We start from the raw sequence: 16,466 nt of genomic DNA on the forward strand, positions 1-16,466 counted from the left end.
ATAATTTCACACACCTTATAGGTTTTTTGTGAGCATTGAAGAAGTTAATATATGCAAAAAGCCCTTGGCATAGTGGCTGCCACAGGTTAGTATTTGATAAGTGCTGGCTATTACTACCCACAGACCACAGTAAGAATACACCCACCCAGCTAGATACCACACATCAGAAACAACATCTTCCTTGCTCTTTTTTTGTGTGTTGAGAGCAGCCAAATAACTGAGGTCATGGCAAAATATTTGGTGGAAAACTCTAAACCAATGTTTGCAATCTGGGTGGAACTGAAAAAGTGTTCTATGTTTTGCTGTCCTGGTTAAGTCTGCAGTCACATTTACAAGCTATTCGCTCTTTCTCACAGGCTCTGGTCCAAGCAGTTATGTAGAACAACTAGGCAAGTCTTCATCGAGAGTTGCCCACTCAGAGAACATGAATTCCAGGGTGATCATGAGAGGTGGTGGGTGTGATTCTTCGGGTTGTATCATGAAAAGGGTATTGAAGCTGCAGCCTCAAGGCCTTACTGTGCAGCTTGTGTTCAAATGTTTTTTGCACATCTGGGGAGTGGGAAGAGGAGGGCAAGAGAGAAAGCTGGATGTTAGAGAAGAGAATAGATGCTAAACATTCTTCAACAGAAGACCCCAGCAAGAGATTTGACACAGCAGCTATTCCTGAGTTATTTAGACTGTCTTGTTAGTATGTAGAAAATAAAAACAATGCTACTGATTTTCCACAGCTTCAATTTCTTTAGTGATTTAATTTGGCTTTGTCATTTACCAAGCAGTTCTTCAATATGTGTGCCTCTGATATTTTTTTCAAGCTGGAAAGTAAAATGGACACTGCTGCTTAAAAATTTTCCTACAAAGACACTTTGAAGAATAATGAATATCAGATAAGTGTTCTCTAAAACCTTAAACTTTTAAATGAATATACTAAAAGATGCTATTCCTAAAGAGCCAGTAAGCTCACAGATTCTCTGCAATATGCTCATTGCTCTTATCTCTGGAATACAAAGCAAAGAATTGAGAAGCTTTTGGTTTTGTTTATTTCTTTCACCTTTGGTATAAACAACACATAGGGAAATATAATCTAGAATTGATATCACATGTCAAATACAGTTTGAAATGATTGGTTAAATTGTGGTTTGGAGAGAGGCTGAGGTGACATTGTTCTTCAACATACAGTCTAAGTTGGTGAGGCCCGTGGTGGGAAAAAGAATGCATTATTCTTTAATATCTTTGATAAAAATTATAGCTTTTGGCTAGGGAAATGTTCCAGATTAAAGGACACTAAACTGAGGCAGGAGAATTGCTTGAACCAGGGAGGTTGCAGTGAGCCGAGATCATGCCACTGCACTCCAGCCTGGACGACAGAGCGAGACTCCATCTCAAAAATTAGAAAGAAGGACACTAAAGAGATTGGACTAAAGAGATATGGTAATGTGAAATGCTAGACTAGATGCTGTAGTAGAAGAAAAAATCCTATAAAGAACATTATTGGGTCAATTTAGAAAATTGGAAAAGGACACCCAATTAAAGGATAGTATCAATAATGTACAATTACAGTAAAGTTTATAGCTGTACAGTTCATGTAAGAACATATCCTTATTCTTAAAAAAAAATTGAAGTATTTAAAGGTAAAGACCCATGATGTATGCAACTTACATTCAAATGATGTAGAAAAAATATTGCATCTATTTTTATAGATGTGCATATATATAAATGTATGCAAATGCACACATATAAATACACACACATATGTATGTGTGCATGTGTATGTGTGTGTGTATATAAATATCAGATAAGTGTTCTCTAAAATCTTAAACGTTTAAATGAATATACTAAAGGATGCCATTCCTAAAGAGTCTCAACAAGCTCACAAAGGGTGAACTTCACCTTCAAATGGCCTTTGTGTATGTGTGTGTATATATATATGTGTGTGTGTGTGTACACACACACATACAGTTTTTTTTAAGTTTCAGGGTACACGTGCAGGTTTGTTACATAGGTAAATATGTGCCATCGTGGTTTGCTGCACCTATCAACCCATTACCTAGGTATTAAGCCCAGCAAGCATTAGCTACTTTTCCTAATGTTCCTAATGTTCTCCCTCTCCTACCCTACTTCCCAACAGGCCCCAGTGTGTGTTGTTCCCTTCCCTGTGTCCATGTGTTCTCATTGTTCAGTTCCCACTTATAAAGCGGAATATGTGGTGTTTGGTTTTCTGTTCCCACCTTAGTTTGCTGAGGATGATGGCTTCCAGCTCCATCCATGTCCCCGCAAAGGACATAATCTCATTCCTTTTTATGTCTGCATAGTATTCCATGGTGTATATGTACCACATTTTCTTTATACAGTCTATCAATTATGGGCATTTGGGTTGATTCCATGTCTTTGTTATTGTGAATAGTGCTGCAGTGAACGTATGCATGTATGTATCTTTTTAAATTTTTATTTATTTTTATTTTTTGAGTTGGAGTTTCACTCTCATTCCCCAGGCTGGAGTGCAATGGCACAATCTTGGCTCACCACAACCTCCACCTCCCAGGTTCAAGTGATTTTCCTGCCTCAGCCTCCCGAGTAGCTGGGATTACAGGCATGTGCCACCATGCCCAGCTAATTTTGTATTTTTAGTAGAGATGGGGTTTCTCCATGTTGGTCAAGCTGGCCTTGAACCCTCGACCTCAGGTGATCTGCCCACCTTGGCCTCCCAAGTGTGTATGTTTCTTTGTAATAGAATGATTTCTATTCCTTTGGGTATATACCCAGTAATGGGATTACTAGGTCAAATGGTATTTCTGGTTCTAGATCTTTGAGGAATTGCCACACTGTCTTACACAATGGCTGAACTAATTTACCTTCCCATGAATCGTGTAAAAGCATTCCTATTTCTCCACAATCTCACCAGCATCTGTTATTTCTTGACTTTTTAATAATCATAATTCAGACTGGAGTGAGATGGTATCTAATTTGGATTTTGATTTGTATTTTTCTAATGATCAGTGATGTTGAGCTTTATTTCATGTGTTTTTTGGCCACATGAATGTCTTCTTTTGAGAAGTTTCTGTTCATGTTCTTTGCCCACATTTTAATGGGCTTTTTTTTTCTTGTAAATTTGTTTAAGTTCCTTGTAGATTCTGAATATCAGACCTTTGTCAGATGAAGAGATTGCAAACATTTTCTCCCACTCTGTAGGTTGCTTGTTCACTCAGATGATACTTTCTTTTGCTGTGCAGAAGCTCTTTAGTATAATTAGATTCCATATGTCAATTTTTGCTTTTATTGCAATTGCTTTTGGTGATTATGTCATGCAATCTTTGTTTGCACCTATGTCCTGAATGGTATTGCCTAGATTTTCTTCTAGAATTTTTACAGTTTCGGGTTTTACATTCAGGTAATCCATCTTGAATTAATTTTTGTATAAGGTGTAAGGAAGGGGTCCAGTTTCCATTTTCTGCATATGACTAGCCAGTTCTAACACCATTTATTAAATAAGAAATCCTTTCCCTGTTGCTTGTTTTTGTCAGGTTTGTTGAAGATAGATGGTTGTAGATATGCGGTCTTATTTCCGAATTCTCTATTTTGTTCCATTGGTCTATATGTCTGTTTTTGTGCCAGTACCATGCTGTTTTGGTTACTGTAGCCTTATAGTATAGTTTGAAATCTGGTAGCATGATGCCTCCAGCTTTGTTCTTTTTGCTTAGGATTGTGTTGGCTATATGTGTTCTTTTTTGGTTCTGTATGAATTTTAAAATAGTTTTTTTCTAATTCTAAGAAGAATGTCAATGATAGTTTAATGGGAATACCATTGAATCTATAAATTACTTTGGGTAGTATGGCCATTTTCATGATACTGATTCTTCCTATCCATAAGCATGGAATTTTTTCCATTTGTTTGTGTCCTCTCTGGTTTCCTCAAGCAGTGGTTTGTAGTTCTTCTTGAAGAGGTCCTTCACTTTTCTTGTTAGCTCTGTTCCTAGGTATTTTATTCTCTTTGAAGCAATTGCAAATGGGAGTTCATTCATGATTTGGTTCTCTGCTTGCCTGTTTTTGGTGTATAGGAATACCTGTGACTTTTGCACATTGATTTTGTATCCTGAGACTTTGCTGAAGTTGCTTATCAGCTTAAGAAACTTTTGGGCTGAGACCTGGGGTTTTCTAGAGACAGGATCATGACATCCGCCAACAAAGACAATTTGACTTCCTCTCTTCCTATTTGAATACCCTTTATTTCTTTCTCTTGCCTGACTGTTCTGGTTTGAACTTCCAATACTATGTTGAATAGAAGTGGTGAGAGAGGGCATTCTTGTCTTGTGCCAGCTTTCAAGAGGAATGCTTCGAGCTCTTGCCCATTCAGTATATTGGCTGTGGGTTTGTCAGAAATGGCTCTTATTATTTTGAGGTATGTTCCTTCAATACCTAGTTTATTGAGAGTTTATAATATGAAAGGATGTTGAATTTTATCAAAGGCCTTTTCTGTGTCTATTGAGATAATCATGTGGTTTTGTCTTTAGATCTGTTTATGTGATGAATTAAGTTTATTGATTTGCATATGGTGAACCAGCCTTGCATCCTGGGGATGAAGCCAACTTGATCGTGGTGGATAACCTTTTGATGTGCTGCTATATTCAGTTTGCTAGGATTTTATTGAAAATTTTTGCAGCGATGTTCATCAGGAATATTGGCCTGAAGTTTTTGTTGTTGTTCTATCTCTGCCAGGTTTTGGCATCAGGGTAATGCTGACCTCATAAATGAGTTAGGGAGAAGTCCCACCTTTTCAATTGTTTGGCATAGTTTCAGAAGAAAGGGTATCGGCTCCTCTTTGTACTTCTGTTAGAATTCAGCTGTAAATCCATCTGATCTTGGGCTTTTTTTGTTGTTGTTGGTTGGTAGGCTATTTATTACTGCCTCAATTTCAGAACTTGTTATTGGTCTATTCAGGGATTCAACTTTTTCCTGGTTCAGTCTTGGGTGGGTGTATGTGTCCAGGCATTTATCCATTTCTTCTAGACTTTTTAGTTTATTTGCACAGAGGTGTTTACAGTATTCTCTGGTGGTTGTTTGTATTTCTGTGGGGACAGTGGCGATATCCCCTTTATCATTTTTTATTGTGTCTATTTGATTATTCTCTCTTTTCTTCTTTATTAGTCTAGCTAGCAGCCTATCTGTTTTATTAATTTTTTCAAAAAAACAGCTCCTGTATTCATTGACTTTTTTGAAGGGTTTTTCATGCCTCTCTCTCCTTCAGTTCTGCTCTGAGCTTGGTTATTTCTGGTCTTCTGCTAGCTTTTGTGTTTGTTTGCTCTTGGTTCTCTAGTTCTTTTAGTTGTGATGTTAGGGCATCAATTTGAGATCTTTCTAGCTTTCTGATGTGGGCATTTAGTGCTATAAATTTTCCTCTTAAAACTGCTTTAGCTGTGTCACAGAGATTCTGGTACATTGTTTCTTTGTTTTCACTGGTTTCCAAGAACTTCTTGATTTCTGCCTTAATTTCATTATTTTCCCAGGAGTCATTCAGAGGCAGGTTGTTCAGTTTCCATGTAGTTGTGTGGTTTTGAGTGAGTTTCTTAATATTGAATTCTAATTTGATTGTGCTGTGGTCTGAGAGACTATTTGTTATAATTTCAGTTCTTTTGCATTTTGCTGAGAAGTGATTTACTTCCAATTATGTGATCAATTTTAGAGTAGTGCCATACAGTGCTGAGAAAAATGTATATTATGTTGTTCTGGGGTGGAGAGTTCTGTAGCTATCTATCAGGTCCACTTGATCCAGAGCTGAGTTCAAGTCCTGAATATCCTTGATAATTTTCTGTCTTGATGATCTGTCTAATATTGACAGTGGGATGTTAAATTCTCCCACTATTATTGTGTGGAAGTCTAAGTCTCTTTGTAGGTCTCTAAGAACTTGTTTTATGAATCTGGGTGCTCTTGTGTTGGGTGAATATATATTTAGGATAGTTAGCTCTTCTTGTTGAATTGACCACTTTAGCATTATGTAATGCCCTTCTTGGTGTCTTTTGATCTTTGTTGATTTAAAGTCTATTTTGTCAGAAACTAGGATTGCAACCCCTGCTTTTTTCTGTTTTCCATTTGCTTAGTAAACTTTCCTCCATCCTGTTATTTTGAGCCTATGTGTGTCTTTGCACATGAGGTGGCTCTTTAGAAGATAGCATACTGATGGGTCTTGGCTCTTTATCCAGCTTGCCATTCTGTGTCTTTCAATTGAGGCATTTAGCCCACTTACATTTAAGGTTAGTATTGTTATGTGTGAATTTGATCCTGTCATCACGATGCTAGCTGGTTATTTTGCAGACTAGTTAATTGTTGGGAACAGGCCCCCAAATCTGGCCATAAACTGGCCCCAAAACTGGCCATAAACAAAATCTCTGCAGCACTGTGACGTGTTCGTGATGGCCACGACACCCACGCTGAAGGTTGTTGGTTTACCGGAATGAGGGCAAGGAACACCTGGCCCACCCAGGATGGAAAACCACTTAAAGGTGTTCCTAAACCACAAACAATAGCATGAGCGATCTGTTCCTTAAGGACATGTTCCTGCTGCAGATAACTGGCCAGAGCCCATCCCTTTGTTTCCTGTAAGGAATACTTTTAGTTAATCTATAATCTATAGAAACAATGCTTATCACTGGCTTGCTGTCAATAAATATGTGGGTAAATCTCTGTTTGTGGCTCTCAGTTCTGAAGGCTGTCAGCCCCCTGATTTCCCACTCCACACTCTATATTTCCATGTGTGTGTCTTTAATTCCTCTAGTGCCGCTGGGTTAGGGTCTCCATGACTGAGCTGGTCTCGGCAGTTAATGTAGTTGCTTCATAGTGTCACTGGTCTGTGTGTTCCTCTCTAAACTGGTTATTCTGGTTAACAGCTCCTATACTGTTTTATCATGCCTCTTAGCTTCTTTGCAGTGAGTTAGAACATACTTCTTCAGCTCAGCGAAGTTCATTATTACCCATCTTCTGAAGCCTACTTCTGTCAATTCATTTATCTCAGTCTCAGCCCAGTTTTGTGCCCTTCCTGGAGATGTGTTGTGATCATTTGGAGGAGAAGAGGTACTCTGGCTTTTTGAGTTTTCAGCATTTTTTAAAATTGATTCTTTCTCATCTTCATGAGTTTATCTGCTTTTGATCTTTGAGGCTGCAGACCTTTGGGTGGGGTTTTTGTGGGGTCTTTTTCATTGATGTTGTTGCTTTGTGTTTTTCTTTTAGCAGTCAGGCTGCTCTACCATAGGGCTGCTGCGGTTTGCTGGGGGTCCACTCCAGACCCTAATCGCCTGGGTTTCTCCTGCCCCTGGAGGTATCACCAGTGGAGGCTGCATAACAGCAAAGATAGCACCTCTTCTTTCTCTGGGAGCTCTGTCCCAGAGGGGCACCAACCTGATGCTGGCTGGAACACTCCCATATGTGGTGTCTGGAGACCCCTTGTTGGGAGGTCTTACCCAATCAGGAGGAGGGGGATCAAGAACCCACTTAAATAAGCAGTCTGGCTGCCCCTTGGCAGAGTGGGTATGCTGTGCTGAAGGAAATTTTCCTTGTCCGGGCTGCCCTGACTCTCCAGGGCTGGCAGGCAGAAAAGAGTAAGACCACTGATCTACAATCCTGTAGCCACCCCTTCTCCTAGTGGCTCATCTCAGGGATATCAGAGATCTGTCCATAACCCCCTGACTGGGGATGCTGAAATTCCTGCAGGGGGACTTCCCTGGTGAGGAGGAATGGATCAAGGTCCAGCTTAAAGAAGCAGTCTGGCCATGAACTGTCCCAGCCGCTGTGCTGTGGGGGAATTGCTCCCAGTCCAAACTGCCCAGTCTCACTGGCACCGGTGGCAGGGGAAAACAGCCAACTGGAGCTGCAGTGATGCTGGCTGCCCCTACCCCCCAGAACTCAGTGTTCTTGGGCAGTCTCCAGCCTGCTGTGCTGGCCAGTGGGGATTTCAAGCCAGTGAGTTTTAGCTTGTGGGGTTCCGTGGGTGTGGGGCCCGCTGAGTGAGGCTGCTTGGCTCCCTGGTGTCAGCCCCCTTTCCATGGGAGTGGATGGATCTCCTGCCTCACTGAGCTCCTGGAGCTGGAGTAGGTAAAAACTCCTGCAGCTCTGTGCCTGCTCTGAGCAGCACCCACCTGAGAAGCCGCCATAAGTCTGCACAGCTCTATGCTTTGGATCCAAGGCCCTGGTTGCATGAGCTTATGAGGGGACCTTCTGATCCGTGGGTTGCAAAGATCTGTTGGAAAAGCATGTCTTTCAGTGAGGGGGTAGCACAATCCCTCACCACCTCCCTGGGGTGGGAGAGGGAGCTCCCTTTGCCCCGTGCAGTTCCCAGGTGGGCCCTCGCTCCACCCTGCTTTTCCTGTCTCTCTGTGGGTCGCGCCAACCGCCTAGTCAGTCCCAATGAGAGAACCTTGGTACCTTAATTGAAGATGTAGCATTCACTCACCATTTTCATTCTCAGTGGGAGCCGCAAAGTGGAGCTGTTTCTATTCGGCAGTCTTGGCTGCTCCCCCACATATACAGTTGACCCTTAAACAACATGGGTTTGAACTGTGCAGGTCCACTAATATGCAAATTTTCTTGCTCCTCTCCCACCCCTGAAACAGCAAGAGGAATTTCTCCTCCTTTTCCTCCTCCTCCTCAGCCTATTCAATGTGGAGAGAATGAGGATAAAGACCTTTATGAACATCTACTTCCACTTAATTATAGTAAATATATTTTCTCTTCTTTATGATTTTCTTAATCACATAACCTTTTCTCTTCTCTAGCTTACTTTATTGTAAGAATACAGCATACAATACACGAAATATGTATTAGTTGATGTTATTGTTAAGGCTTTTGGTCAACTGTAGGTTATTAGTAGTTAAGTTTTGGGGGAGTTAAAAGTTATATGTGGATTTTTGACTGTGTGGGGCTCTGTGCCCCTAACCTCCAGGTTGTTCAAGGGTCAGCTGTACACACACACACGAAGAGAGAGAGTGAGCATAAATATAAAGCAAATTTACAATGTTATTAATAAGTGCATCTGCGCTAAGGATATACAGGTCTTCTGTACATTATTATTAATTCTTAGAACTTTTCTCTGTGTTAGATTATTTCCAAATAAAAAGTAAAAAAAAAAAAAAAAAGAATTCAACAACAACCAAAAACAAGACTTTCTAATTTTCAGCATCATATTATTTGGATGGTTTTGGGGATGGTACACTTCACTACATCTTAAGCAAGTTGTTTAAGAAAATATTACAGGCAGAAGGCAAACTTCAATTAACACTCTAAAGCTGGGCCCTTAAAACAGGCAAAAATACATGGGTGGTGTTTACAAGTTGACGAAAGACATACTGTGGTAACAAAGCTGACAGAGTCTTGAATGAGAGCCAGTGGGGCCTATAAGCAGAGGGGCTTCCTGTGCAGGGACTGTGGGTCTTCCTAGATGTCACTGACAAGCATAAGGCTGAGGCTGGGGAGACATGTAAAGGGAAAGGAAGGAGAAAGGAAGCGAAACAGAGGAGGAACATGGAGACAGAAAACAGGAGAGAACTGTGAAAAGCAGCTACTATTCCTTGAGTGCTTACAATGTGCTGACTTTGTTTTTGGCTTATTTACTTGCATTTAATCCCCTCCCCTTGTTCCTAGTAACCTTACAAGGCTCTTGTTACTGTTTCCACAAAAAAAAAAAAAAAAGAAAAGAAAAGAAAAGAAAAAAAACCCTGAGACTCAGAGAAGCGTCTATGCCAGTTAGGCAGTAGTAGAAGCTAATATTTAAACCAAAGTCTGTCTGACCTCAAAACTATTAACCACTATATTATATGCACCCCACCCCGATCCAATGTCTTTGTGGGGAAAGGTAAACAAGGAGTCCTAACTGTTCTCTCAAAGGCCTGTTGGCAGCTCCTTGGCTGGGCCATTGATGTCAATATGTTAAGAACACTCACCTTGACTTTGGCTCTTTCAGCATTAAAATCACTGGAAGTCAATAAAAAACTACATGGTATGTCCCAGGGAGAAGCGTCTTAGATTGCCTATGCCCTTAAGCCAAAAGAAGCAATTCCATTTCTCATGTGGCCCCATGTAGTTCCAACTCCCTTTCCTTCCTTGTTATATAGACATGCACTGTGGGGTGTAAAAAGTTATTTAAGGGCCAAATACTACAGTACAGATGGAAAACCCTTGCCTCATGCAGAAGCAGCTGTGGAGTCCTTGGTATTATTCTTTCTTCTTAGACTGTCTGTTAAAGAAGCCAAGTGAAAATGTACTCTCTGGCATGACAGGCAGATTGTTTAAAGAGCTGCACACATCACAGAAGTATTAACTTGTCTACAAGGTTTTTGATAGGTCAGTAGTAGCTTTCTAGGTAGAGGCAATGATATTCATTTATAAGATGGAGATTTTCAACTTTCAGGTTCTATTTTTCCTACTCCCCAAACATGAAACAAAATTGCAATTCAGCCTGTCTCCTACCATAGTTACGGTCTGTGAGTTCATTTCTGTTTTTCAAAAACCAGGACGCACAAATTTAAGAGGACTATTACTTTTCAAAGACTTAATCCTGCCTTTTTTAAAAGCTAAAGCAAAGCTTATTATGCCCAAAGTGCAGACTGAAAAAAAGAGAATTGGCCAAACCAGCTGTTGTAGGGTGTGTAGCCCATTAAAAGTTATCTTGCTAATAAGAGGTAGTTACAACTTCTTCAGTCTTAGTTTTCTTGCTACTTTTCTATTTGCCAGATTTTAGATCCTTGTGTACAGATAATATATCTCATATATCTAAATGAAATCTTTCTCAAAGAACCAAAAGGATTATTACTACTAATCCCCAGTGTAGGCCCTAAATGCCAATTAGTTTGTCTTTGGTTTTTCATTTGCTGATTGATTGGTTAAGTTTTTATTTATTTGTTTTTCTTTGTTGTTAGTGCAAAGATCAAACAAATACTATAACTAACTAACTAATTAATTAATTTTAAAATGTACTGAACACTTATTCTGGGTTATATATGGTGACGCCATGATTTACTCCCTCCCCCAGAAACTCTCATAGTCTGAAAGGAGAGACAGAGAGTAGACAAACACCACATGAATATAAGTAGTCCTGGCTCTACCTTTAAGGTTGGCTACTCCTTCTCCTTCATTCCAGTGAAAATATCTTCCTAACAGAAAAGAAACACCCAAAAGCAAACTCTCCCTCTGAAGGTATTGCTTCTGATGAGAAAGGGGATTTGGGAGTCAAAGAAGAGAACTGACTTGATGTATGACATGTTCTTCCAGGCTTGTGGTAAGGCATGGACCTAGGAGTCTGTGGTCAGAAGCAGAGGATGGAGTCTCTTCTTATCTGGAGCAGCAAAGCTCTTGGAAATTGGTTGCAATCAAAATTAGGGTGCAGGTAGAGCATTGGAACATTCATTTTAAGCCAACAGAATAAAAAGAACAAGGAATAAATACCTCTGAGAGCTTTATGAGAGATTTTGTCCCAGTCTTCCTTGAGTGCAGAGCAACAGGAGTGATGAAAGGAGAAGTCTAGTTTTCGAGCTATAGTTTTCATTTTCAGAGTTCGAGTAACTGAACTATAAAGAAAAGTGCCCCCATGGAAGGCAAAAATTGGCTGTACTTTACTTTTTTTTTTTTTTATAGTGTAGTTACTCTATGGAAGCCTAACTAGTTTGACAAAGCAAAGAGTAATTGTCTACATATTTACTTCATGGGGAGAAGTATTATTTGGAGCACTTGCTGTAACTTCTTCACATAGGTCTCTGTTTGAGTCATATACAGAAATGTGACTTTGATGTATGGTTCATCAGCCAGAATAAAGGTTGTTTTTGACTTCTTGAAAGATGGTTGTGTGTGGAGACGAGAGGAAAAAATTATTAGTTGTATTTTTGGTTAATTTGAATTTAAATGGTAGAATCATGAACTGAATTTAGAGGCTACTTCAGCCAATGTTTACTGAGAAATTCACCAGATGTTATGTGATTATAGGTGAGCACACGTGTAGAGGATTTTAAACACTAGTTAAAGTCTGAATCCAAAATTATTCTGTAACATGTTTAATTGTTCTTTAAAAGACTCTTAAAACTAAAGAATAATGATGTTTGGGAGGTAAGCTTATCAAGGTCCAATCAGTGAAGCCAGATCTACATGAAGCCTCAAATCAACTTCTTCCTGGTGGGGTTTTAGAATTGTCTTAAATGACAGGAAAAATTGTCCATAACTGCAAGTGGAAGTAGTCATTAAGACAGGCACAAACACCACCAAATAGACCACTTTTAAACTTAAATATGTTTCATTATTGGGCACTATAGTAAACTAGAACTGAACAACAGTGACAGCACTTAAATTTACCAGAAAGTTCACTTTCTGAGAAACTCCTTCCCTTCTCTATTCTCTCATACTTCAACACCTTATATGCGAGACATTAAAGAAAGCAAACTAAGAAAATATGCATCACACCAGACTTGATCATATATGGGAAGTAAGGTGTGGCTGCCAAAGTTTGCAGGTTTGTAGTCGTCCCGAACATATTTGTGCTACTCAGCCAGTCACTTTGATATCATTGAGTCCATGAGGGACATTTAACAAGATCTAACTTGTCCTCTGGTCAGGACCAGAGGACTCTGGCCACATTGTGTCTGGAGCATTCCTCTCTCTTTCCTTGCCCTAATGTCCTCCCCAGTACTAAGCATGGTCTTTTGCTACTGGGGTCTCAACAATGGAAAATGATCCCATGCCTTTTTTGTAAATTTTTCTTCTGCAATTATTTTATTTACAGAACATTTGCAAAGACAGTCAAAGAATCTCTGTATCCCTTCACCTAGCTTTCCCTAACCTTAGCCATTCTATGTATTGCTATTTCATTACGGTTGGAATTTATATTTCCCTAATGACTAATTATGTTGAACATCCTCTCATGTGCTTATTGCCACCTAGATATCTTTTTTTGGTGAAACTTCTCAGAAATACATCCCAGTTTTTTAAATTAGGTTATTTGTTTTCTTATTCAGTTTTGAGAGCTCTCTATATATTCTGGGTATAAGTCAGTTATCACGCAGCTATTTTCTCCCACTGTGTGGTGCTTTTTCTTTTTGTATGTATGAGTTTTGGTTTGATATATCTCTACTATCTGAAGAATTTCTTTTAACATTTGTTATAGAGTACATCTGCAGGTAATGAATTCCATCAGCTTTTATTTGTTTGGCAGAGTCTTTATTTCTCCCTCAGTTTTGAGGGTTGTTTTCACAGGTTATAGAATTCTGGGTTGGTGGTTCACCCCGACCCTGGCCTCTCCTTTCCTCCCCTAGCACTCTAAAGATGTCTTTCCATTGTCTTCTGGTTTACATGATTTCTGATGAGAAATCTGCTGTAATACTTCCCTGTATTCCTTCTTTTCTTCTTGCTTTCAAAATTTTATGTTTGTCTTTTATTTTCAGCAGTTTGAATACAGCAAATGAAGGGGTGTGTGTGTGTGTGTGTGTGTGTTTATCTTGCTGGGTTTTCTATGGCCATCATGTACTTGCATTTGGTGTTTGCCATTAATTTTGGGAAATTCTTGGACTTTTTCTTCAAATATTTCTTCTGCCCTTTTCTTTCTTTCTTCTCCTTTTTGGGATTCCAATTGTGTGTATATTACAAATATCTTTGTTCCCCAGCTCTTGAATATTTTGGTTGTTTTCTTTTTCTCACTTTTGTTTCCCTTTGTGTTACAATCTCAGTAATTTCTGTTGATTTATTTTTACGTTAACTGATGCTTTCATTGGTGGAGTTTAGTTTGCTGATGAGTCTGTCAAAATCATCCTTTAGCTCTGTTCCTGTGCTTTTCATGTTGAACATTTTCATTAGATTCTTTCTTATCTCTCTGATTAAATTACTCATCTGATCTTGCATGTATCTCACTTTTTTCTTTAGAGCATTTAATGTATTAATTATCATTATTTTGAAATTTTCTTTCAGATAGTTCATATAGCTGTGTTTTAGCAAGGTCTGGTTCTGATGGTTGCTTTGCTTTGTGTGTTCTTTCTTTCCTATTTGTATACCTTTTAATATTTTTTGAAAGCTGGATAGCTTGTATAGGACAGAGGAGACTGAGGTAAATAGTTTTTATGCCTGAAAATGGGCATATCTTTCCTTCTGTTGGGTCTTTAACATGGGAATTTGAGTTGGTTTAGTTAAGGGTGGAGCTAAGTTTGATATTTGCTATTGCTGTGATTACCCTCAATACTCCAGATGACTCAAATTTCTTAGTGATGCCTTATGTTTAAGGTGGTGATTCATTATCCAGAGCAATGTCTGTTTGGTCCTGCACCCTAAGTCTTTCCTCTCTACTTTGCCTTACAGTGGGTCTAATTTGCACATTCTTGCTCCTTCAATGGCCTTCTCCCTGCAGTATTCTTATTGTTATTTAAACTTATTTTCTTGGATGACAGTGGAAGAGAGCATTCTCTATTGTTATAAATTTCAGGCTTATGTAGAATTTTAGGAGTGTGGCTTTCTTAATGCTTCTTCTCCTTCCCTGGCTGTTATTTTTGGTGCAGTGTGTATTTCTGCCCCTGACACAAGATTAGGCTTTTTTCTCTTTTAATTTTTCTTCTCTCAGCTACAAAGAATTTTTACCTACGCCTTAAAGGCAAGAGTGATTTTTGTTCCTGCCTAACCATCTCTTTTCCTTTCCCCACCCGTATAGTTTAAGACTTTTGTTCAATAGAGGAGACAGACAAAAAACTCTGGTGAAGTTTCCGGTTTCTCTCATATAGCTGCTATTTTTCCCCAGGTTTGCCTCACAATTAAGACTTTCTATTTCTGTGATCAGCTGGTGGGGTTTGCAGGGAAAGAGGGGCAGGAGGGTATGAACTCTTTAAATTTCTGTGTCTCTTAGTGGTTTCCTGCTGTCCTCCCAGTCTTGCTTTGGCCTTCATGAATTCACCAATTATTTGAGTCAGAATCTGATTGATGTTCAGTTACTTTTGATCTAGGTAAGAGAGTGCTCATATCTCCTATCTCCCAGCAGGCAACTGTTTTTCCTAAAATTTTGAGCCAGTTATTTGTTTGCAAACTCAGTTCTCTGATGGGTTCAAAAAGTGTTATGGATTTAAATCTAGTTTAGCTCATTTTCCTTGTAAGATTAATAGTGATATTCCTTGCAGCTAACATTGTCAGATAAAACACAGGATATACAGTTAAATTTGATTTTCAGATAAACAATGAATACTGTCTTAGTATAAGTATATTCTATACAAAATTTAAGTTTAAATGGGTGTTCTATATTTTTATTTCCTATATCTGGCAACCCTACTTTGAGCTCCCTATATCTTAGTGCTGAAGTTCCCATTATCATTATTTTCTTCTTTCTTCTTCTTCTTCTTCTTCTTCTTCTTCTTCTTCTTCTTCTTCTTCTTCTTCTTCTCCTCCTCTTCTCCTTCTTCTTCTTCTTCTTCTTCTTCTTCCTCTTCCTCTTCTTCTTCTCTTTCTTCTTCCTCTTCCTCTCCTTCTCCTCCTTCTCATCCTCATCCTCATCCTTACCTTCCTCCTTCTCCTCCTCCTCCCTCTTATTATTATTCTTTCTTTTTTTTGGGGAAGTACTATCACAAACAAGTTTCATGATTAAAGAATGTTTTAAAACAAAGGGTATTTTTAAAAAGGATTTGAAAGAAAAATATAATAGTAAACACAAAAGAATCAAGTAATGGTGATATTTGGTGTTTCAATGAAGAGTGTAATTTTTAACTTGAATGATTTTTATCTCTCTGCTGCTCTCTCATGCATACTATATAAGCTGGACTGCAATTTAGCTTTAGTGATCAGTTTCATTTTTTCATTTATTCATTAATGATATGATTTTTCCTACTTTGGGATCATGGAGTTCTGCGACAACTGTGGGTAGTGATGAATATTCTTCTGAGAAAAATTTGTATAACACTTACACTTATGATTTCAGAGGTTGACATATCTTGTAAAGACCTTCTATAAAACCTTAGATGAGGCAGAGAGGGAAGAATTATTGAATGTTGCCTCAGCCTATTAATGTCATGTCAAACATACAGAGTGGTGTCATATATTATGGAATGTGAGACAGCATGCTGATTAGATATGTCCCAGTCTGATAACATTTTGGTCAAGGAGATACTTATTTTAGAAATAGCTTAATTTAACCATTTTCTGCTTGAGATAATGATCCATTTGCATTTTTATTTATTTCTATGTTTCACATAGCTATCCATTGCACACAGCAGCAATTTTTTTGGACTTCCAAACTCTAGTAGTCATGCCGTGAAGCTAAACTTGGATGATCTATCAGAACAGACAGACCTGTATTATTTTCAATTGTGTTTCCTATCCTGGACATTTTTCAAAGTTATGAATTTCCATATTCACCACAGACATATTTCTCTACTTTCCATATATTATAATATTCCCAAATATAGTGGCTGAGTCATGGGGACAAAAGAATTTCATAGGAACATAAAGATGGTAACTTCTTTCCATAGTTCTTTAAGTTT

General features: G+C 38.7%; 1 annotated feature.

Annotated features, from left to right (window-relative positions):
• Positions 14,103-14,644: an enhancer, noted in NCBI's record as "NANOG hESC enhancer chr5:81886910-81887451 (GRCh37/hg19 assembly coordinates)". NCBI's record gives its function as "activates a minimal SCP1, AML or CMV promoter by ChIP-STARR-seq in naive H9 embryonic stem cells {active_cell/tissue: H9 hESC(naive)}" and the evidence as "EXISTENCE:reporter gene assay evidence [ECO:0000049][PMID:30033119]".

Source organism: Homo sapiens, chromosome 5, assembly GCF_000001405.40.
Source record: "Homo sapiens chromosome 5, GRCh38.p14 Primary Assembly".
Lineage (NCBI taxonomy): Eukaryota > Metazoa > Chordata > Mammalia > Primates > Hominidae > Homo > Homo sapiens.